The sequence below is a fragment of the Homo sapiens genome, chromosome 21 (genome assembly GCF_000001405.40).
Source record: "Homo sapiens chromosome 21, GRCh38.p14 Primary Assembly".
Classification (NCBI taxonomy): domain Eukaryota; kingdom Metazoa; phylum Chordata; class Mammalia; order Primates; family Hominidae; genus Homo; species Homo sapiens.
In genome coordinates, this window is record NC_000021.9 from 31,876,967 (window position 1) to 31,901,121 (window position 24,155).

Consider the following 24,155-nt stretch of genomic DNA (forward strand, 5'->3'; position numbering starts at 1 on the left):
CATTCCACATTAGGAGGGGAATGAAGTCATTAATACTGTAGTGAGAAGTACTCCCAGCCCACGTGGAGCGAAAGGATTCAGGGCAGCTTGTCTTGGGAAATCAGTCCATGAAAAAGCTGAAAGAGGGCATAGGGAAACAGAAGTTGAGAGGGCACCCCAAGTTTGGCCTGCTTCATAGCTGCATTCTCAAACTGTGAGAATTAGTTTTGGGTGATTTGTGCTAAAATCTAGGGCATTGCTAGTTGAAGGCATTTGGTATGGGGGTGTGTGTGTGTGTGTAGCGTGTTGTGTTTCGACTTGGTTACACTTCCAAAAAGCTTTGGGTGAAATCCTTCATGGTTTGCTGGGAATCACTGTCTGAGTCCAGATGACAAAGGGAGCCAGTTTTTCCCAACTTTCCTTTTAGGTTTCAATTTGATCTCATCAAGAGGCTGCTTTTGCCACCACTGCCTGTAGGACAATCTTTTGCCTGCTTTTCCTCTGAAGTTGTTTGTTTAGAAGCCATTTGAATCTAGATGGCTCTTTTACTGCTTGTAAAGGAAAGATGGCTTGCGGCTGAGACCTAATTGTGTCCTCCTTTGAGTTAATGCAATCTCTGTTAATCTGGCTTTAAAAATAAATAGTTCACTTGGCCATGTGAAACTCTTAATAGGTACCTTCACAGTCAGGGCTGAGTGTCTTTGACCAAAGTTGATGATTAGACCAGGGAAAATGATCACAAAACCAGATTCTGAAAAGTACCACTCTCTGGCTTTGAGACGAAGAGCAAAGCTGTTGAGCAACAGTATGGGGTAATGACTTTGAAACACCTGGAGTGGTTGTGCTTGCAGAGCCTGGTATTGATTTGTGATACCTATGAGAGGCGTGGTCTCTGGCACATAACAAGTGCCCCCCGCCCTGGCCCCCAACCAGACAGAGTGACTTGGGGGCTGCTGCATGATCAGATAATATCATCTGTCGACAGAATAAGGAAAGTGACTTACAGAAAATTGAAGTGAGGTCCAGAAACAGGACAGACGTGGTGGCTCATGCCTGTAATCCCAGCACTTTGGGAGGCCAAGGTGGGTGGATCACTTGAGGTCAGGAGTTCTAGATCAGCCTGGCCAACATGGTGAAACCCTGTCTCTAATAAAAATGCAAAAATTAGCCAGGTGTGGTGGTGCATACCTGTAATCCCAGCTACTTTGGAGGCTGCAGCAGGAGAATCGCTTGAATGTGGGAGGTGGAGGTTGCAGTGAGCCTAGATTGTGCCACTGCACTCCAGCCTGGGTGACAGAATGAGACTCCATCTCAAAAAAAAAAAAAAAAAAAAGAGTTTAAGATTTTAAATTTCCATAAACGTTAAACTTTAAATGAAGCAACTTAGAAACCACGTATAATGTTTCTAATACAGACATTATAAATAATGTTTGTAAGGAATCAGTAAAACAATGGTCCTTTATCATCAGCAATATATTTGGATAATTCCTTAGAAGTTTGGTTTAGTGGCTGGACGCGGTGGCTCATGCCTGTAATCCCAGCACTTTGGGAGGCCGAAGTGGGTGGATCATTTGAGGTCAGGAGTTTGAGACCAGCCTGGCCAACATGGAGAAACCCCATCTCTACTAAAAACACAAAAATTAGCTGGGTGTGGTGGTGCACACCTGTAGTCCCAGCTACTTGGGTGGCTGACACATGAGAATTGCTTGAACCCTGGTGATGGTTCGTGATACCTACAAGAGGCATGGTCTCTGGCACATGACAGGTTATTGTGTTTTGTAAAAAATTGATAAAAGTTGAAAAAATATAGTTGGAAAAGCTGAATCGAGAAAAGAGTAGGTGTATCTCAGGTATTGAGCCAGTGTTGTAGGCAGGCAAACTACAGAACAAGAACAGACAGTCCATGCCACTGTTACCTTTTTTGTGATTGAGTCTCACTGAGATACAAAGTTGAGTACATAAAATGATTGGTTAAGATGTTGAAATATCTTGTTCTAACCCTTGGTTAAAGAATAATAAGCCGGCTTGTCACTTCCATCAGAACTATTTTTAGGCTAAGAGTAAGGGTTGCCTGCTTACTAAGTTGCCAGTAATCATGCTTAGAGCATGACAGTGCCAGATACCTGGAGTGAAGGAGTTACTAAAAATACGATTTACTATGTTTTGCAGAGCAAGAAATATGACTAATTTTAGAGGTGGCCTTTTGGCAGATCTGTTTTTAGCAAGTATTTCTGAAACAAACAGGTGCTAAATCCTGTATTTTTGAAGTGCTAGAAGTTTAGGGGTAATCGCTCTGAGGAACAAGAAATGCTTAGAGAACTGGAAATTCCTATTAATCCTTGGCAGGGACTTCTTGGCAAGAAGGAGGCATTTGCAAAGCACCTGCTTGGTGAGCCCTGTGTGACAAGGCAGTGCCTGTAATTTCGAGGATTGCATTCTGCAGTTGCAGGCGGATTCTTTTGAACTTCCTGCCCTGCCTCATCTTTTTGAAGTACTTGTGAATGATGGAAATTGGCACGTAGGGCCTGGTTCCTAGTGTTCATTGATACAGGTCCCACGGACTTCAAAGGGTGCTTTGAGTCAGCGCAACAGTGCAGAAACGGTGCCCACGGAGAGGAGTACAACCCTACATTTTCTCTGCAGGTGTTGAGTCACGGCTATAGCTACCCGTGCATACCAATCCGACTCAGGTCTGTGAGACTATAGAATTCTGCATGCTGCCAGCTATTGGAGGTCAGCGCGGCAATCATCTGTCCCAGGGTTTATCTGCCCAGAAGGGGTGGGGAGTGGCAGCCATGTGCCCCCGAAGAGAGGGACAGGTTGGGGTGTTCTCCATGGGAAGGAGGCTTGGGCACAGGGTTATCATTTGCCTTGGGACATATATTCCCTCTGTCGATTATTTATGGTAACGGAGAGACCTGCTCTCTTGGCTAATTGAAACCCGTAGATAATCCCCAGGCCTTATGTTAGCTGATGGGTGAAACTTCTTTCTCTACTCAGCCCTGGTCTAAGTACTGACCTGAATTGAATTTCACGCTTTCTGATAGGAGGTGCCACTGGGTGGTACGATGACCAGCAGGAAAGAGCTAGAAACACAGGGACTGAATAGTCCCCGAGGAGGGGGATGCCTCTGTGAATTCGAGACAGCTGTTCCCTCTCCTCCATCACCAGCACCAGCCCAGTGCTACAGTGTTTTACGGTTTTTTTCAGGGTGCCCCTCCCGTGCACATTCTTGTTAGATGCCTGCAGCAGCCCTGGTGGAGGGGGTAACAGCCAGCTTGCTGGTGTTCTTGCCTGCCTTGATTACGTAGAAGGGTGCCCTGAGTAGATCTTCTCTCTGACATTCTCTATGAGTTTGCTAGGATGGTTCTAACAAATTACCACACACTGTGTGGCTTCAACAACAGAAATTTATTCTGTCACAGTTCTGGAGGCTAGGATCCAAAACCAAGGTGTTGGCAGGGCCATGCTCCCTCTGCAGCCACAGGGAGAATCCTTCCTTGCCTCTTACTAGCTTCCGGTGGTGGCCAGCACTCTTTGGCATTTTCTGGCTTATGACTGCAGCGCTCTGTCTCTGCGTCTGTCTTCACACAGTGTTCCTCCCTCTGAGTGTCTCTTCTGTCTCTTAATCTTTTCCTATGTCTCTTTATAAGGACACCAGTCATGGGATGTAGGTCTACCCTAATCCAGTGTTGCCTCATTTTAACTCGATGACATCTACAAAGTCCCTATTTTCAAAGAAGATCATATCCACAGGTACCAACGGGACTTGAAGGTATCTTTTGGGGGAGCATAGTTCAAGCTCCAGCACCTTTTTAGACTGTCAGTATTGGGTTGTGGCAAGCGGATCTTGGGAAGGAGATGAATGTGCTTTTAGGGATTACTCTCAGAACTGACCTCTGCAAGGGAAGGGGCAAAGCAGCACTGGGCAGAGGGAGAAGCTGGGCTCCAATACCGCTCTCAGCCAAAGCCCCTGCCCATGCCGTGGTGAGTGCTGGAGCTGAGCTGGCCCTTCAGAGCTGACCAACTTGGGTTGAGAGGACTGGGATTTATATTTCCGCATCGGCCAGTCCTTGATGGGGGCTGCCCAGGCAAGGGGCATGGCCTCGTACGGGACAGTTGCTGAGGGCGGTTCCTGGGGAGAGCTCACAGCTGATAGCCTGCAGCTGAGGCAGTCAGTTCTTCAGCACTGACGGGGAATCTGGGGGTGCAGCCCAGCATTTGCTGTTTACTGAAAGAGACAGGGTCAGAGTCCAGGGCTTTTCATCTGAGTCCATACCATATGGACCGTAGACAACGTGGGCATCTTTTCCATGCGCATTTTGGATATGAGTGGTCATCATTTCCATGTGTTGGTATCAAGTCCTCTCATCTCGTTACCTTGAAATATACAAAGTATGGCCAGGCGTGGTGGCTCACGCGTGTAATCCCAGCACTTTGGGAGGCCGAGGGAGGCAGATCACCTGAGGTCAGGAGTTTGAGACCAGCCTGGCCAACATGGTGAAACCCTGTCTCTACTAAAAATACAAAAAAATTAGCCAAGTGTGTGTTCCTGTAATCCCAGCTACTCGGGAGGCTGAGGCAGGAGAGTCGCTTGAACCAAGGAGGTGGAGGTTGCAGTGAGCCGAGATTGTGCCACTGCACTCCAGCCTGGGTAACAAGAGCAAAAACTCCATAACAACAGCAGCAGCAACAACAACAACAACAACAACAAAGAAATATACAAATTATTGCTGCTAAATATAGTCCCCGTAGCAAACATTAGCATTTAGTCCTTCTATCTATGTATGTTTGTACCCATGAACCAGCTTCTCTTCAGCCTGCCCTACCTTGCTGCTCGACTGTGGTCTCTCTCCCTGCAATGAGGGAGCAGCCGGCGTGGCATCTCATTAGCAGATTCTATGTGCCACACGCTGGGGGATTTTCTGGCCTCACATTTCTCTTAGGTTAGAATCATCAGGGCTCTGTTGTGTTTCTCAGTACTTACAAGATTGAAAGCTCACTTTATATGTATGCTCTATGGGTTTTTTCCTGAGAACTCTGGGGCAACTGAGTGTTGGGCCAAGTTGTGGGCCAGCATGCCTACTTCAGAGACGGTGGCACTTTCCTGGGAAGAGACCCCCCCTCCCCCATCACTCGTGAGTGGTGGGAAAAGTTGTTGAAGGAGTTGTGGGAATTTGGATTTTTGATGAGTAGAGTAACAGTTTGGGACATTCTCATGGACAAAAAAAACTACTCAGGGTAGAGCCATCTGTTAACATCCTCTTAGCACTCTTACGGTGGCCACTGTGCCCTAGCTATGCAACTTCTAATCACTGGGTTCTTTTTGGTTTTTAATCATCTTTGTGTTTTCAAGATGCATTTGGTTAAGTTTTGGAATTGGTAATACAGACACATGGTCTGAAATTCAAAGGTTCTGAGAGGGTTTGCAGTGAGAGGTAACTGCTTCTTATCTGGGCTCTTCAGTTCCTGGATCTTCTCGTGAGAGGTCACTCCTCCTTCTAGTCCTTGTGTATCCCTCCAGAGATACCCTATATGCATAGAGACCCACATACATATTTGTAAATGCGTAGTTAGGGGCAGATTTTTCTTCTTTATTGATACATAATATTTTACATATTTATGGGGTACATGTGAGTGTTCCATGCATGGAGTGTGTAATGATCAAGCCAGAGTATCGGCGTGTCCATCACCTAAGTATTCATTTCCACGGGTTGGTATTATATCAAGTCCTCTGTTCTAGTTACCTTGAAATATACAAAGTATTGCTACTAAGTATAGTCACCCTAACAGACATTAGAATTTAGTTCTTCTATCTATGTATGTTTGTACCCATGAACCAGCTTCTCTTCATCCATCCCTCCCACCCACCAGGGCAGATGTATTTTTAAACTGTACATGCTGTTCATTATCTTGCTTTTTCACTTAGCAATATGTCTTGAGCATTCTTCCCCATGACTACTACAGAATTGCCTCACTCTTTATGTTAATTAGTTATTGCATAGTAGTCATTGTGTGGAAGTATCATGTTGACTTAACCATCCCTTGTTGATGGACATTTAGGGAGTACATAATTTTTTTTTTTTTGTTATTCTCAAACCATACTTCAGTAAATATCCATGACCATTTGTCACTTTGTAAATGTGACCCCTCAGTGTATCTGAGGGGTAAATTCCTAGTCTTAGGCCAAAAGGTATGTCTATTTTAACTGTTGATAAGTATTGCCAAATTGCCTGCCATAGAGGTTGGCAATTTATAATCACATTGATAACCCTTATAATTTATAAGGGTTCCCAACTTATAACCACACCCATCTGGTATGGGAGTGTTTGCTTTTCCACATGTCAGCCAACAGGGTACTCATTTTGATCTTTGCCAATCGAGTGTATTAAACATGGTATCTTGTCTTATTTATTGTTTCTCTTATTTACATGGGAATTGAGTATATTTTCATACCTTCTCAACTGTTTGTACTTCATTTCTGTTCATTGTTCATGTCCATTCGCCAATTTTCTTTTGGGGTTTTGGCCTTTTTCTTATTGATTTATAGGAGCTCTTTATATATTAAGGAAATTAGTCGTCTTTGAGTGATATATTTTGCAGTGTCTACCACCTTCCCTCGCTCCCCATTATTCTTTCTCTTTTTCTTTGTGGTTCTTGCCATTTGCAGAAGTTATTTCTTGGGAGTTCATGAACTAGAGAAGGATAATTGATAAGTTTTGGAGGTCTATGGAGCCCTATCAATTGTGTGCATGTAAACATATTTCTGAGGAGAGGGTCCATGGGTTTCGTCATACTCTAAATGGAGTTATTTACCTCTAAAATATTAAGAGCCACTGCTTTGTTGCCCACCCTTGTTGGCTCTGCTGACTAAATGGAAGTCTGCAGATTACTGGGCTGAGGGTTTGGGTCACCTTGGTTTGTTAACACCGGTGCCAGTTGGGCTACAGTTGTAGATTATACACACTCAGGCTAGGCAGGTTGGTTCTGCAACCATGACCCTGGAGTAAGCACCCTTGATTCTGCCCCGACCCTTACCATGCCTGGATTGCAAGGGAGAGGCATGATACTGTGTGGGATGGTCTTTGGAAATCTTTGACTCTTGCTGGTTTAAGTAAGACAACTGTGAGTCCATGTCCCATCATCTCTTCATGGGAAAGGTGGTACCATTTATGGTGGATGGTTGCTATGATCAGAATGTTTGTGTCCCCCAAAATTCTTTTGTTGAAATTCAAACCTCCAGTGTGATGGTATTTGGAGATGGGGCCTTTGGGAGGTGATGAGATCTACCCTCATGAATGGGATTAGTGCCCTTATAAAAGGTGCCTGACTGAGGTTGCAGTGAAAAAATAAAAAAATAAAAAAGGCCAGGCATGGTGGCTCACACCTGTAATCCCAGACTTTGGGAGGGCGAGGTGGGTGGATCACTTGAGGTCAGGAGCTTGACACCAGCCTGACCAACATGGTGAAACCCCATCTCTACTGAAAATACAAAAATTAGCCAGGCGTGGTGGTGGGCACCTGTAATCCCAGCTACTTGGGAGGCTGAGGCAGGAGAATCACTTGAACCTGGGAGGTGGAGGTTGCAGTGAGCCAAGATCATGACATTGCACTCTAGCCTGGGTGACAAGAGCAAAACTCTGTCTCAAAAAAAAAATAAATAAATAAAGGGTGCCTAAAGGAGCTTGTTTGTCCTTCCACCATATGAGGACTCAGTGAAAAGGTGCCATTTCTATGAGCCAGAAAACACGCCCTCATCAGACACTGGATCTGCAGGTGTGTTAGGCTTAGACTTCACAGCCTCCAGAACTGTGAGAAAGACACGTCTCTTCTTTTTTTTTTCTTTTTTTTGATGGAGTGTCACTCTTTGTCGGCCAGGCTGGGGTGCAGTGGCACCCTCTTGGCTCACTGCAACCTCTGCCTTCTGGGTCAAGTGATTCTCCTGTCTCAGCCTCCCGAGTAGCTGGGACTACAGGTGCGTGCCACCACACCCGGCTAATTTTTGTATTTTTAGTAGAAATGGGGTTTTGCCTTGTTGGTCAGGCTGGTCTCGAACTCCTGACCTGAGGTGATCCACCCGCCTCAGCCTCCCAAAGTGCTGGGATTACAGGCACGAGTCATCGCGCCTGGCCAAATTGTCTGTTCTTTATAAGGCATCCAGTCTATGGTATTATGGTACTATGTTACACCAGCCCAAGCTGACTAAGACAGTGGTTGAGAAGAAAGAGAAAGGGGGAATATCGAGGGAAATGAAAACCTTTCAAGGAGCAAGAGCCATTACGTAACTTGGACATAAAATGCACTAAGACAGGTATTAGTACATTAATGCGTGTGTGTGACAGTGCATGCGCCTTGGCACTCTTCGAGGGGCTCTGTCTATTTGAGATGCCCTCTGAGGAGCAGCCTTGGTGGGGCCGACAGGCGGGCCCTGCTGTTGGAATTCCTGTGGCCTCGGCCTGACGACCGTCTCTGAATGCCCTGTCCCCTGTCACTCTCTGCCCCTTCACTCTGCTTTGTCCCTCCTCACCACCTGGAGTGGTTTGCTAGAGCTGCCATAAGACAGCACCACAGACCCGGGGGCTGGAATAGCAAGGCCTTACTGTCTCTCATTCTGGAGGCTGGAAGTCCAAAATCAAGGTGTTGGCAGGGTGGGTCCTTCTGAGGCTTGTGCAGGATGGATCTGTTCCATGCCCCTGTCCTCGGCTTATCCATGGCTGTCTTCTTCCTGTGTCTCTTTACATCGTCTGCCCTCCACGTGTGTCTGTCTCTCTGTCCAAATGTTCCCTTTTGTATTTTTTTATTTTTTTGATACAGAGACTTGCTCTGTTGCCCAGGCTGTTGTGTAGTGGCACAATCTTGGCTCACTGCAATCTCTGCCTCCCAGGTTCAAGCGATTTTCCTGCCTCAGCCTCCTGAGTAGCTGGGATGACAGGCACGCGCCACCATACCCACCTAATTTTTGTATTTTTAGTAAAGACCATTTCACCACGTTGATCAAGCTGGTCTTGAACTCCTGACCTCGTGATCCACCCGTCTCAGCCTCCCAAAATGCTGGGATTACAGACTATAGACGTGAGCCACCACGCTTGGCCTATGTTCCCTTTTGATAAGGACACCAGTTCAAATTGGATCAGGGCCCACCTTAATGACCTCACTTTAACTTGATTACTTCTCTAAAGACCTCATATTCAGGGGGCTAGGCGCAGTGGCTCACGCCTATAATCTTAGCTCTTTGGGAAGCTGAGGCAGGCAGATCACCTGAGGTCAGGAGTTTGAGACCAGTCTGGCCAACACAGTGAAACCCTGTCTCTATGAAAAATACAAAAATTATCTGGGTGTGGTGGTGCACACCTGTAAATCCAGCTACTCGGGAAGCTGAGGCATGAGAATCACATGAACCTGGCTGGGAGGCGGACGTTGCAGCGAGCCGAGATTGCGCCATTGTACTCCAAACTGGGAGACAGAATGAGACTGTCTCAAAAAAAAAAAAAAAGACCCCTCATATTCAAATAAAGTACTGAGGTACTGGGGTTAGGACTCCAACAGATGAATTCTGGGGGGACATAATTAAACCTTTAACATCACCTGATCCCATGGAATATATTTAGAGTTGATGTGTTTGTCTCCCCACTAGAGTGTAAGCCCCATGAGGAAGAGACCACTGCTCTATTCCCCGTGCCAAGAATAGTTTCTGGTACAGAGAATATGCTCAGAAAATACTTTTTTTTTTTTTGAGACAGTTCCGCTCTTGTTGCCCAGGCTGGATCTTGGCTCACTGCAACCTCCGCCTCCCGGGTTCAAGCGATTCTCCTGCTTCAGCCTCTCGAGTAGCTGAGATTACAGGTGCACACCACCACGCCCAGCTAATTTTTGTATTTTTAGTAGAAACGGAGTCAGGCTGGTCAGGCTGGTCTCGAACTCCTGACCTCAGGTGATCCACCTGCCTTGGCCTCCCAAAGTGCTGGGTGGCATGAGCCACCGTGCCCGGCCAGAAAATATTTTATGAATGGATCCAAGCATGGTTTGATCTTCCCAAGACATGTGGACAGCCTTCTAGGGGGTAATGTCCAAGTTGGCAGGCTCTGGTTCTGCAAGCGCTGTATGTTTCTCTCATTCCTTGCTGCTCTGGGTGTGCCTGTCTGGGTGATGACTATGTTGAATGGGTTGTCTGGCTGGTGCTCTGTAGAAAAATCCTGGCCCCTGAACAGCTGTGCTTTCTGCGGGGATTTAGTTAGGCACCTAGGTATCTGAGTGACAGGTGACTAACCAGAACCAGACAGTATTTTGCAGTGTCAGGGGATGTTAACGGACCCTCTCTCTTTCCTGAGAAAATGTAGCAACACTGCAACAGATGGGAGAAGTTGCTATTTGCAAACATACATTTTATTTTGGATGTTTCCCATGGAGATATATGTAGGTTTGGAGTCTGTCTCTTTGACTGTAATTTTTTTATAAGTTTATTAGTCTCCTAAGCCACATTCCTGCCAAAACATTTTGCAATCCTGCTTGCTTCTCTTGCCCATTTTCTGAGCCATTTGATTCATTCTGGGCTCCCTCCCTGCATCACCACTGCCATTTTAGTCCTCTTTTTGAGTTCTTGTTGTCTTATGTCCAACCCCAAGGCTTTTTGGTAAGTCGTCAGGCCATCTTTCTGCCTTTCTTCAGACGCTCTTGTATGTGACGCTCCTCTCTTTGTCACCGTCGGCTCTTTGCCGGGGCTCTGTGTGTAGCAGCTTGAAAGCGTGCAGCAGTAGTGGGTGACCCGTGAACACAGAGCGTGGTGCTAAGAGATAAAGGAACAGTGGATGTTGTAACCGCCTTCGGGGAGCCTCGCCAGCTCTGTTTAGGGATGATAGAATGAAGTTTGGATTCTTAGCGATTCCCTTGTCTACCTGGAGCAGAACACGGGTAGGCAGGTTATGATTGCATAACCTTCCAAATCAGTAAAAACCTGCAGGAAAGAAATGGGTACATGGTTTTTGCTTTGATCATGAGGAGGTCATACTGATCACGAAAATAATGAACATTTGTGGATCTCGTACCATCTGCTGGGCCATGTCTTGGATGCTTTGCTGCATGAGACAACTTACTCTTCATAGTAGCCTTTTGTGGTAGGTACTGTTGTCCTGATTTTGCAGATTAAGATGACCAGAATCTTGGTTTGCCCAGGACTCTCTTAAGTTTAATGTAGGAAGTCTTGGATTTGAGGAAGCCCCTCAGATAATGCCAAAACCACATTCACCCAGGAAAATATTTCATCAGAGTGTTTGGAGTCCAAACTGCAGGTTTCCGAATAACAGTATTAATAAGCAGCCAATCAGGTCATGAATGAGTGAAGAAGTAAAGCCCAAAGCCCTGGGCGTTACTGGGATGCTTTTGTTGGTAATAATAATGTCCCTGTGTGCTCCCAGGGACTGAGAGGTGCTTTTCTCACATATGTAGTACAGATCTACCATCTTTATGGGTTCACATGAGATGAGGAGCTTGAGCTATTAATAATATGTGTGTTAGGCTGGACGCAGTGCTCACGCCTGTATTCCCAGCACTTTGGGAGGCCGAGGCGGGCAGATCACTTGAGGTCGGGAGTTTGAGACCAGACTGACCAACATGGTGAAACCCTGTTTCTACTGAAAATACAAAATTAGCCAGGCGTGCATGGTGGCGCATGCCTGTAATCCCAGCCACTCGGGAGGCTGAGGCAGGAGAATCGCTTGAACCCAGGAGGCGGAGGTTATGGTGAGCCAAGATTGTGCCATTGTACTCCAGCCTGGGCAACAAGAGTGAAACTCCATCTCAAAACAAAAACAAAAACAAACAAACAAAAAAATGCAAAAAAAAAGGGGGTTGTATGTGCACACACAAATGTATGTGTGTATATATATATAAATGCATATACACAGATGTATATGTGTATTATATATAACATTAAATATAAATTATATAATACTATGCTAAATACATACACGTTTTTGTTAGCAGACTTCCTCAATGAAGGAAGCAGTGGGGACTGGTAGCTCTCTGAGTAGCTCTGGTTCGCATCAGTCTAACTCTAGTAGTACTTCTCTTTTGCGCTGGGGGCTGAAAAATCTACTGGAGGGGAGAGAGGTTTTTGAATCACATCGTGAAGCTGGAAGTGCATTCTTACGTCACACAGTGAACAGTCCCTTCCAGTCTCCTCGTTAAACCATCCTCCTACGAGAATGAACACAGATTACTTATTAAAAACAAAACAAAATACCCAGTGCTTTTGCCTTATTATGCTGACGATTTGGAGGCAGACCAGCTTTCCCAAGCCATTGCTTAGTCCCCGGTTGGGCTGAGAAAGGACATGAGAGGCAAATGGAATGAGGAAGTGCCTCAGGTGAAAAGGAAGCTTAGGGAAAGTTAGCTGTGGAGTCTGAGATCAGAATATTTTAACATTTTATCTGAGCCCTACTTTAGTGAAACCAAATGGATAAAGATAAGTGTTATCACTTATATAATCTGGTTTTTAGTTGGAATTACTGCTGCTCTGATGTAGCTTTCTCAGTGCATTCTTGTTTCCAGGTTAAAAATTTAATTAGAGAAACTAGTCGATGACTCAGTTCTCAGTTGAACATTTACATTTAATAATACTAATAAAGAAAACTTGTTTTGAAAACACATCTCCAGGTTTTCATAGTGTCATTCCCATAGGGTGACATTTTATTCTATTAAAAGCTAACATTTGTGAGAAGTAGTTGCAATTTCAAGGCCAATTTGACATAATAAAACTTGAATTTCTCTCTGGAGGGAAGGTGCTGGATGGCTATTTTACTCCCACCTAATTTATTACTCTGAGATGCTTTTTCCAAGATCAAGAATGAGCTTTTTATCATAAAGGCCATTAAAGCAGCTGAGAAAGTACCTGAGAATGTGCGGGGTAACAGATAGTTTCTTTCCAGTGTTCAGACTTAGAATTATGTCCTCCAGATTTCAAAGGGACATATTACTCAACAGTGCATTTATTTTTAAAAAGTCTAATATAAATCAGTGTTTTTTCTATGATCAACTATAAATATTTTAAAAATAATATATTTTTAAGTATTTTTGACCAAGCATTAAGAATTTTAAAATTCTTTAAATCAGTTAAGTCACAGGTATATTCCAGAATAGTTGAGATTTTTAACAGATCAAAAGAAGTCTTGGGCTCATATTTGATAGTTGCCATCTAAATCATGGCCACTTATACATACTTTTTTATTGTCAACTTTGCCACTTGTTACTATACTAATCACATTGCATTATCCATTCTCTCTGTTTTAGATACCTTTTTTTTTTTTGAGACAGAGTCTCGCTCTGTTGCTCAGGCTGGAGTGCAACGGCACAGTCTCGGCTCGCTGCAACCTCTGTCTCCCGGGTTCAAGCGATTCTCCTGCATCAGGCTTCCAAGTAGCTGGTATTACAGGCACCCACCTCCGTGCCCAGCTAATTTTTGTATTTTTAGTAGAGACGGGATTTCACCATGTTGGTCAGGCTGGTCTCGAACTCCTGACCTCAGGTGATCCACTCTGCCTTGGCCTCCCAAAGTGCTGGGATTACAGGCATGAGCCACCGCGCCTGGCCGGTAAATATTCTTTTAAAGTTTGATTTTTGGTGATGCATAGCATTCCATTATTTGGAGTTGCTGTAATTTTTAAATCCAGTTCCCAATTGTTGGACATTGAGGTTGTTACAAAATTTTCCCTGGATACATGATACTGCTGTTGCTATCCTTGTATGTTCATCTCTGAGTCATTCCTTAACATAAATACTTGGAAGGCTTTTGACATATTGCCACATTGCACTTCAGAAAGGTTGTACCAAGTGACACAACAGATATGAAAGTGACTTTTTAACTGAGCATTTTGATAATTAGGCTAATCATAATTTGTGTACTTGATTGAAAATGTGTTTCTTCTTTTATGAACTGTTACTAGTAATTTTCCCCTATCTTTCTCCTGTTTATCTTATTGGTTTATAGAAACTCTTTTCAGATTACAGATATTAGCTTTTTAATCTTTTGTTTAAAAAAAAAAAAACTTTAGACAAATTAAATTTGACGGTTTAATTAGCAAAGAATGATTTGAGAACCGAGCACCCCCCAGCCCTGGCCCCCAACCAGACAAAATGGAAGTGAGGTACAGAAACAGGCTGGATGTGGTGGCTCATGCCTGTAATCCCAGCACTTTGGGAGGCCGAGGTGGGTGGATCACTTGAGGTCAGGAGTTTGAGACCAGCCTGGCCAATGTGGCAAAACCCTGTCTCTACTAAAAATACAAAAATTAGCTGGGCGTGGTGGCCCACCCCTGCAATCCCAGCTACTTGGGTGGCTGAGGCACAAGAATAGCTTGAACCCAGGAGGCGGAGGTTGCAGTGAGTGGAGATTGCGCCACTGCACTCCAGCCTGGGCGACAGAGTGAGACTGTGTCTCAAACAAACAAACAAAAAGAAAAGAAACAGCTGGATTGCTTATAGCTTGGCATTTGCCTTATTTGAACATACGAACACACCCGTGATTGGCCCAGACTCTGACTGGTACAAGAGCAGGTTACATTTAATAATACTGTTAAATGTATTATTGCACATCTGTTTACACATCCTGTTAGGATCCTGTTTACACATACAAGTGAGGTTACAGTTCACTATGTGCAGAGAAACCATTAGGCTGAACTTAAAATATGTAAGAAAGCATCTTTAGCTAAACTTTATTTAACACTTTGTTATGTTGCGAATATTGTCTCCCAGGTGATCATTTGCCTTTTGATTCATCTTATGGTGCTTTTATTTTAGGAAGGGGGCAAAGGCACATGGAAATTTTGTGTTTTGTCTAACCAATCCAGTAGTCTTTTATCTTTAGTTTTCTCTTATTGCTTTTATGCATAAGTAAACTAGAGGGCTTGTTGTTGGTTTTGTCTTATAAATGATCAGTGGGTCCAGTGTTTCATAGTTGTCTGCAGAAAAATCTTTGCATTGGGTAGGGATATTTGACTATATATTCTAATCCGTTACATAATGATTTAACCTGTTGGTGTTATGTACTAAAGCACAGGCTGTGGGGGCTGACAGCTTGGGACTCCTATCTGCTTTCTGCTACTTGGTATCTGTGTGATCTTGGGCACAGTGTTCAAAAACTCTAAACTTCAGCTTCTGTATCTGCAAAATGGTGACAAAGATACCTCATGGTATTCAATGAGAATTTGGTTAAAAAAAAAAAAAAATATATATATATATATATAGAGAGAGAGAGAGAGAGAGAGAGAGAGAGTGTGTGTGTGTGTGTGTGTGTACAGCACGTAGCCTGAAAATACAGTCATTATTGTGTTAGTCAAGAAAAAAGTGGCCAGACGTGGTGGCTCACACCTGTAATCCCAGCACTTTGGGAGGCCGAGGTGGGCAGATCACCTGAGATCAGGAGTTCAAGACCAGCTTGGCCAACATGGTGAGACCTCTGCCTCTATAAGAAAATACCAAAAAATTAGCCAAGCCTGGTGGCGCATGCCTGTAGTCCCAGCTACTTGGGAGGCTGAGGCAGGAGAATCACTTGAACCCAGGAGGCGGAGGTTGCAGTGAGCCGAGATTGCGCCACTGCTCTTTAACCTGGGCAAAAGAGCCAGACTCTCTCTGAAAAAAAAAAAAAAAAAAGGAAAGAAAGAAAAAAAAAGAAATGGTAGTTGGTTGTTCTCTTCATTTAGACTTTCATAGTTATATTTCCGCCTTAAAAGTATGTATTATTTATGGTCTTTTAGATAGTAAGAAACAGATACCCACTCAGTTTATCATAGATAACGGCATTTTATTTTAAGGATAAAGGGAGGTGAGGAAAAAGATGATGGGGACGCCTCTTCCGTCAACACCTCCCTGAGGACCGCGATGCCTCTCTGGATGTCTGCATTCCTGGGATTCCACTTTCCTCTTGCCCACCTCTGCCGCAGACCTCCCTTTCTTGGCAGCTTCTGTGGTTCCTTGGGCGCATCCTGCCATTCACCCTGCCCCCTGCCTCAAGGCTTCTCACTATTCCTGGCTTCTCTGCCTCCTCCTGTGTTTCACTTTTTGCTCTTTCTGGATGTAGGGGAGGGAAAAATGTCTTCCCTCCACCCGTCTACTTATTTGGTTGGGCTACAAATTAAATCGACATAAGACAGAGTAGCAGGAGGAAAACCACATTTAAGGACATCGTATGCATGGGAGTCCCACAGAATATGAGACTCCAAGAAGGGCCAGGTCATGGAAGCTTCTACAGCAACCCGAGCTACAGAAAAGAATAGGGGCTTGGGGCTTTGGGGGTGGTGGCAATCCGTTCTGGGAGGATGAGGGGAAGGAATGTACGGTGGTGAATAAAGCTTGTCTTGTTATGCAGATAAAAGTCTTCCAGGTAATAAAAAGTTACCTGGAGCAACTCTTTTCCCGATACATGAATTTTCTTTATAGATATTATTTGCAAAAGGACAGCTTTTCGGAGCTGCTTCTTTGTTTGCAGTTTCTCAGGATAAGCAGCTCAAACTATGCCAAAGAACTCTAATTGGAGTGTCATGTTCTGGTCTCCTATAGTCATGTTTCGGGGTGGTTGGTGTGTCTTGAGCCCCAACATGGGTATTACTGGGTTGTCTTGTATTTCTGGGATTGATGACATCGTGGTAGAAGTGTGATACTGGAATCCTTACTGGCCTCACCTCCTTGTCACCTTTTTGCCACTGAGCGTCCTTTAACAGCAGAGAATCCTTTTCACAGTGGAATAAAGAATGCTATTTATAGATGATTCTACACGAGTTACCAGATTAGTATGGTTTGAGAAAGTTTGTGGGACAATTAATTCTCCATGTTTTTGATCAGGTAGGCAACACCTGCCTCAACACTCAGGAAAACATGTTACTGCCTTTAAGGGTTATACTTTCTCCCATGTTTGTAGTTGTAGGGATAGCTTAATGCATTTTTTTCACTGACCCTTTGCTAGAAGTTCTGTCATTTCCAATGTGCATCGAAGGCCTCTTTAGCTTCCGGGACTGGGTTGAGAATTTTGTCTTGGATTCTTATTGCCAAAATCTCTGGGTTTCCAATTCCTGTGGTTTCTCCCTTCTTCCCCGAGGCTGCGTTATTCTTGTACCTTTTCAACTGCTTTTGGCTGCCAGTTGTCCTCTGGTGTGAGAATAGAGTATTGATTGCTTCCTGTTGCCTGTGGGACAGGAATGCTTCTTGAATTAGAGCTAATTTTGGAGTTTAAAGTATTAAATGTCAAATTTGAAAGAAAGCACATCTAAGACCTCTTTGTTGTGGAAGCGAAGGTCATCCCAGGGCCTAGGGGAAGGGAAAGGAAGAAAGAAAAGAGAAAGGAGAAAATAGCTGATGACTTCTCCCTCTTCCAGATCATTCCCTCTACACTCATGGAATGCTCTTTCCATTTTCGTAAAATCCATTTTTAGACTCAGAATTCTGCATCTCAAGCCATTTGCCAGGTGTACTGTGATGTCAGAATACTCACTGCTGGGGAAATTTCCCAGTTGTAACTAGCTTAAAAAATAAAACAAACGTTACCTTTACTTGGAGATGATCATTTGTTTTGTCATTCAAACACTTAATGGTGGCCCTTTTTATGCAGAGCTGCTGGTAACCTGTATGGGCTTTTGTACACATTGGAAAAGCTGTGCCTTGCCAGACCAATTAGAAAAAGACATCCCCTCTGGGTGAACCAATTAAAAAAAAGCACTTCCTCAAGTGGGCCAATTAGAAAAGGTGTCCCCTCTGGGCAGCCCAGTTGGACAAAGGCTTCCTGTTTGAATGGATGCAGCTGCAAGGTGCATGGTTTAGCAAGCAGACAGCATTGCGGGAGGAAATATACCCTTTGCTCTAGGGCACAGAGTTGGCAAGCCAAGTGGGGTCTGGATTTCTTCCCCCAAATGGCCCCCTCCATTGGGTGCTTTTGTCTGAGGCACCAAATGCACCGCGAACAGGCTCAACAATCTGATCTGCACCCAGTAGTTAGAGCTAAGCTGTGAATCACAAACACGGAACTCATGTTATTACAGTGGAAAAGGCCATGTTTCTTCCAACAGTGACTGATTAAGTGTCCCAGGATTTTAGCGAATCTCAGGTAAAAATCTGCAGAATCAGTCCTGGTCTCTTTCTTTGGCAAAGTCTGCTTCGTTGCTTGTTCTGTAAGAGAAAGAGAAGCAAGGTGAAGAATTTGGATGATAAATAAATTCAGTGTGTTTATGTCACTCAAGGCCCAGGAGACACAAGACATGCTCTGGCATATGTAACAATTAGGGTCTTGGGGGAATGCCCTTCACGAGACCTGTGAACTTTGTGTCTCCTGAGTCATCATTCAACCTGCTTCAGGGGCCCAGGGCTCTCAGACTTCCTGTGTGTTAAGAGCTGAAGCAGCTGTTGAACTAGGGTCTCAGAGACTCCAGTCTGCAAATTCGAAGAGAAAAATTCTCCCCAGTGTTGATTACTTATCAGCCCGGTTCCTTTCTTGGATGGGGAAATGGTGTGACAATTTAATAACGGGCCTGTGACAATTACATGCAAGTGGAGAGAATGAAAAACCAGCCTTGGAACAGAGATTTTTCTTTTCTGGGAATGGTACGTGGTGGTTTTGGCTTTCTCTATGTGTAATGGGAGAGGCCCATCCATCTCTGTGTGACAGAGGAAAATTTCAGCATTAGGAGAGTAACTTCTGATTTATCACAAACAGCTGGGTGGGCCATGCCTCACTGGTGCCCAGGCTTAAGCAGCCTTTGAAATAGAGTTGCTCAGTGTGGCTTCTGCATCTGAAAGGGCCAGTGAGCTGCTGTGTGTTTCACAGTGGTTGCTGAGCTCTTGTCATCCTGATCACCCCTGGTAGAGGGTCAGTGTGAAGGAGGGCATTACCTTGAACCTGACAAGTCTTGTATCTGTCAAGGTGTTTGCTATGGGCTGAATTATGACCCCCAACCACAAATTCATATGTTGAAGTCCTAACCCCCAGTATCTCAGAAGGTGACTGCATTTGGAGATAGGATCATAAAGAGGTAACTAAGGCGAAATGAGGTTATCTGGATAGGCCTTAATCCAATGTAGCTGGTATGCCTAGAAGAAGAGGAAATTTGGACACAGATGTGCGCACACACAGAGAGAGACTGCACGAAGGCCACAGTGAGAAGGTGGCCATTCACACGCCAAGGAGAAGGGCCTCAGGAGGAAGCAACCCTGCTGACACTTTGATCTCAGACTTTGGGCCTCCAGAACTGTGAGAAAATACAGTTCTGTTGTTGGAGCTGCCCAGTCTATAATCCTTTGTTTTGGCAGCCCGGGCCAACTAATACACTCTTCATACACCTCCATTTGCTGAGTGTCCCAGAAGCTAAGGTCGGCTTCAGGAATCATGCCGGGAAACTTCACCTGATTCACGAGACCACTTTCTAATGGGATCCTCCTCTTCAGTAACTTTTTCCTCTGGGAAGGAACCTGGGGTTTCTCTCTCTTACTTCTTGCCTCACTAAACTCTGTTCTGTAACAAATCACATTCTGTGCAGATACCACGATACCTGGAAACAATCTCCTCCTTGAGTAAGGAAATCAATAATATTCACTGGATTCCTGACTTGTATGGTGTTGTGTGCTGTCTCATTCCATGTTGGGTCAAGAAAAAAACAAACAAACAAACAAAAACAAGAAAATGTTGTCCCTCTAGTGGTTTCTTGGTTTCCCTGGCATATTTCTACAAAACACCGTCAAAAGAAGAAGGTGTTTGAGGTTGCTATTAGAATTTCTTCATGGACACATATAAATGTATGAAATTATTAGGATGGTCCATAAAGCTCTTTATATTGTTTGTAGGATATTGACACATGACTTGTGATTACTTTGCGTATGATTTGTGTGAACCCAAAAGATTATTCTCTGTAGCTCTTAAAATGTTCACTCTTTAGGAACACTCTTAAAGTGATCAACTAAAAAATGTTGTTGCTAGTAGCATGATGTCATGTGGATTAGTTGCCTATGGCTACCATAACAAAGTACTATAAACTGTGTGGCTTAGGGCCAGGCGCGGTGGCTCACACCTGTAATCCCAGCACTTTGGGAGGCCAAGGCAGGTGGATTGCTTGAGCTCAGGGGTTTGAGACAAGCCTGGGCAACATGGGGAGACCCTGTGTCTACAAAAATACAAAAATTACCCAGAAGTGGTGGCGAAGGCCTGTAGTCCCAGCTACTTTTGGGAGGCTGAAGTGGGAGGATCGCTTGAGCCTAGGAGGTGGAGGCTGCGGTGAGCCGAGATCACACCACTCACTCCAGCTGGGTTGACAGAGCAAGACCCTGTCTCAAAGAAACCAAAACAAAAAAAATTAGCAACAACAACAAAAAACTGTGTGGCTTCAACAATGGAAATTTATTGTCTCATTCTGGAGGCCAGAAGTCTAAGATCAAGGTGAGTTGGTTCCCTCCGAGGGCTGCAAGGAAAGGCTCTTTCCAGGCCTGTCTTCCAGCCTCTGATAGCCCCAGGCATTCCTGGCTTGAAGGGCATCCTCCCTCTGTCTTCACATCATCTTCCCTCTGTGCATGTCTGCCTCTTGTTCAAATTTTCCATTTAATAAAGACACAATCATGTTGGATTAGGGCCCACCATAATGACCTCATCTTAACTGGATCATCTGCAAAGACTCTATTTCCAAATAAGGCCACATTCACAGATGCTGGGAGTTAGGACTCCAGCATCTTTTGCGGGGACAGAATTGACTCATGACACCATGTTATTGTTTTTCTTATCCCATCTCATTAGCCGCAAAAAGGTCTTTGGACCCTGGAAGCAAAGAGCAAGAGACAGGCAAAGGCCAAGAGGACAGTGAAGGAGGTGGGGTGGTCAGGGCTAAAAGGTAGACTGCCCTGGGCATTGATGTTTCTTGGGCTTTGGGTGGAGGGTGCTGCCTGGACCTTCTAGGTAGCTTCATTGCCTCTGTTCCACCATGTTCTATCTTTCCGAGATGCTCACCTCCTCCCCTGCCCTGGGATGCTCATCATTGTTAAGTGCACTTGGGCTTATGGTTCATTGGCAGTTCTCTTGGAGAGAGAAAGAGGGAGGCTACGTGGAGTAGGGATGCATTGCAGAGATACGACAGTTATGCTGACATTCTGTTAAGGAAGACCTTAGACTCTGGAAACAGACTTGAGGTGCAAGACCCCCCGCTGGTCTGGCTTCCAGGAGAAGGCCGAGAGGTGAGTCACACAGGGCAGTATTTCTCAGTCTTATTTTTTAATCCATATACTCTGTAGTGAAACCCCACCTGGGCAAAACCATTTTATGTTTTGTGATTACCATTAGGACAAGCTTTATACTTTGTGGGTATTTATTTAATTTATTTTTGAGACGTAGTTTCGCTCTTGTTGCCCAGGCTGAAGTGCAATGGCGCGATCTCGGCTCACTGCAACCTCCGCCTCCCAGTTTCAAGTGATTCTCTTGCCTCAGCCTCCCGAGTAGCTGGGACTATAGGCATCCGCCACCATGCCTGGCTAATTTTTTGTATTTTTAGTAGAGACAGGGTTTCACCATGTTGGCCAGGCTGGTCTCAAACTCCTGGCGTCAAGTGATCTGCCCACCTCGGCTTCCCAAAGTGCTGGGATTACAAGCATGAGCCACCACGCCCGGCCGTGGATTTTTTATTAGGGCAAAAATAGGTGGACTGAATGTGCCTTTTTCAGCTCACTTTTCTTCTCGACCCTGGAGGACTCTCCCGTCTTTTGGTCACCCCTATGGAGAGGCCCTGCATTGAGCTTTGTTGTGGAGTGGGGTGGAACAGGGCAGGAGTGGGGTCCAAGCTTCTGGAAGTGTAAGGAGAGAGGATGATTAATGTCAGGCCAGCTCTGCTTGGAATGAGTTTGAGAAGTTTGAGAGAAAGGGCAGTGTCTACTGATGCTAGAAGACTGATATGAAAGCAAAGCTTTTAATATCCACAAAGCATCCGATCAATATGCCTAAATAGTTTGTTAGGCTCCTCTTAAGAAATACCATCTGTGAGCTTATTCTCTTTTATGGTTTAACGTTACAAACACTTGTAATGTATGTTATCGTGGAAACTGAATGATGATAAGCTGCTCTTAAGTTCCCACCCTCTTCCCTTGTTCTCGGTAGGTTTATGAGTATAAAAGGGGAAAAACTCATTCTGCACTTGGTGCCATGGAGGAAATGATTTAACAAGTCGAGGCTGGCAACGACTTCCTGCTGCACTGATTTTACTTAGATCTTCCCTTTTAACGTTCTCTATTAGTTTCCTGGGCTGCCATAACAAAGTACCATAAACTGGGTAGTGTCAAACAACAGAAATTTATTATCTCACAGTTCTGGAGGCCAGAAGTATGAAATCAAGGCGTTGGCAGAGCCATGCTCTCCCTGAATGCTGTAGGGGAGGAGAATCTTCTTTTCTTCCTAGCTCTGGTGGTTGCCTGCAGTCTTTGGCCTGCTTTGGCTTGTAGATGCCTCACTCCAGTCTCTGCCTGCAAATTCGCGTGACCTTTGCTGTGTGTGTGTGTCTGTGTTTCCTCTTGTTGTAAAGACATCAGCTCTATGGGATTAGGGACCCATCCTACTCCACTATGATCTTATCTTGACTAATTACATCTGCAATGACCCCATCTTCAAATAAGGTCACATTCTGAGGTACTGGTGGTTAGGACTTCAATGTATCTTTATGGGAAACCCAATTTAACCTATAATGTGTTCTAAACCAAACTCGTTGCCTTTGCCACTGACCAATCTGCCTCTTCTTCATTCCCTGCTACTCCTGCTCAGCACCATCTTGGTTCCTCCATCTTCTCAGTCCCTTTTGGGTTATTCAGCTCCTGTAAGTTACACCTCTGGCTGCTGTGTGTTTTTTTTTTTTAGACAGAGTTTCACTCTTGTCACCCAGGCTGGAGTTCAGTGGTGCGTTCTTGGCTCACTACAACCTCTGCCTCCCAGGTTCAAGCAATTCTCCTGCCTCAGCCTCCCACGTAGCTGGGATTACAGGTGCCTATCACCATGCCTAGCTAATTTCTTTTTAAATGGAGACGGAGTTTCACCATGTTGGCCAGGTTGGTCTTGAACTCCTGACCTCAAGTGATCCACCCTCCTTGGGCTCCCAAAGTGCTGGGATTACAGGCATGAGCCACTGCTCCCAGCCTCTGGCTGCTTTTTGATTTTTATCTCCTACTGAGTCCCTTTGACACAGTCTAGTTTAATCCTCGTTCATTCTCCCCATCCCCTGTTCCTCGCAGCATAATCCATCCTAATTGCCTAGAAATGAACTCTAATGAGTCCACAAACTCTCCAGGCCCACCCTCCTAGCTCCTTCCAGCCCCACTGAAATGCCACGTTAGTTCTTCCTGGAGCCTGCCCTCCTCTGCCCAGCTGGAGGTAGTTTCTCCCCGCTCTTTGTTCTGTCTCCATGTCACCTCTCTTACTCCATGCAACATCTTGAGCACAAGCAAGCGTGTGGTAGCTGCCTCCCAGGTTGCAGGATTATTTAGGCTAGAACCAGGTCTTAGTTACTGAAACACACACACACACACACACACACACACACACAAACTCTACTGTGCTCGTCATGATTTTTCACGAATAGTGGGTACTTTGACAGACTCGGTAGAATGCAGGTCTCCATGTGGAAGCTCTGGCTACAATTCTGAGGTTTTGTCATGGTCCAAAGGTCTCCTCTTCGAGTCTGGCTCTCTTAACAACAGCACTCTACTACAGAGCCCTGCGCGTGCAGTGATACCTGAGTTAATCAGTACTCTGGAAGTAAGCCTTTATCCAGAGTCAGCCTTGGGTTTATCGTGTTTATTGTTTAACTTTCTGATGGACTGGACACGGAGTGGTTGGGAAGAATTTCCCAGGGTAGTTTCAGTATGGATCAGATGCCTGTAGCCCTTGAGTACTGCATTCGTTTCCTGGGGCTGCCATGACAAAGTGTCCACAGACCTTAGAACAACGGAAACTGTCTCACGGTAACCCAGAAGGAGCTGGAAGTTCAAAATCAAGTTGCACCCTCTGAGGGCTTTGGGGAAGGGTCTCTTCCAGGCCCCTCTCCCAGCTTCTGGCACTTCCGTGGCTACTGGCAGCACGACTCCAGCCTTCCCATGGCATTCTCTGTGTGTCTCTGTGTCCAAATTTCTCCTTTTTATAAGGACGCCAGTCATATTGGATTAGGGTACACACAAATAATGTCGTC

General features: G+C 44.9%; 1 protein-coding gene across 2 annotated transcripts in view, besides 1 other annotated feature; it reads left to right on the forward strand.

Moving 5' to 3' along the window:
* The window catches only part of HUNK (hormonally up-regulated Neu-associated kinase), a 131,045-nt gene that overhangs the window by 3,947 nt on the left and 102,943 nt on the right, over positions 1 to 24,155 (forward strand). The gene's annotated exons all lie outside the window — the stretch shown is intronic.
* Positions 4,042 to 4,542: an enhancer, noted in NCBI's record as "H3K4me1 hESC enhancer chr21:33253321-33253821 (GRCh37/hg19 assembly coordinates)". NCBI's record gives its function as "activates a minimal SCP1, AML or CMV promoter by ChIP-STARR-seq in primed H9 embryonic stem cells {active_cell/tissue: H9 hESC(primed)}" and the evidence as "EXISTENCE:reporter gene assay evidence [ECO:0000049][PMID:30033119]".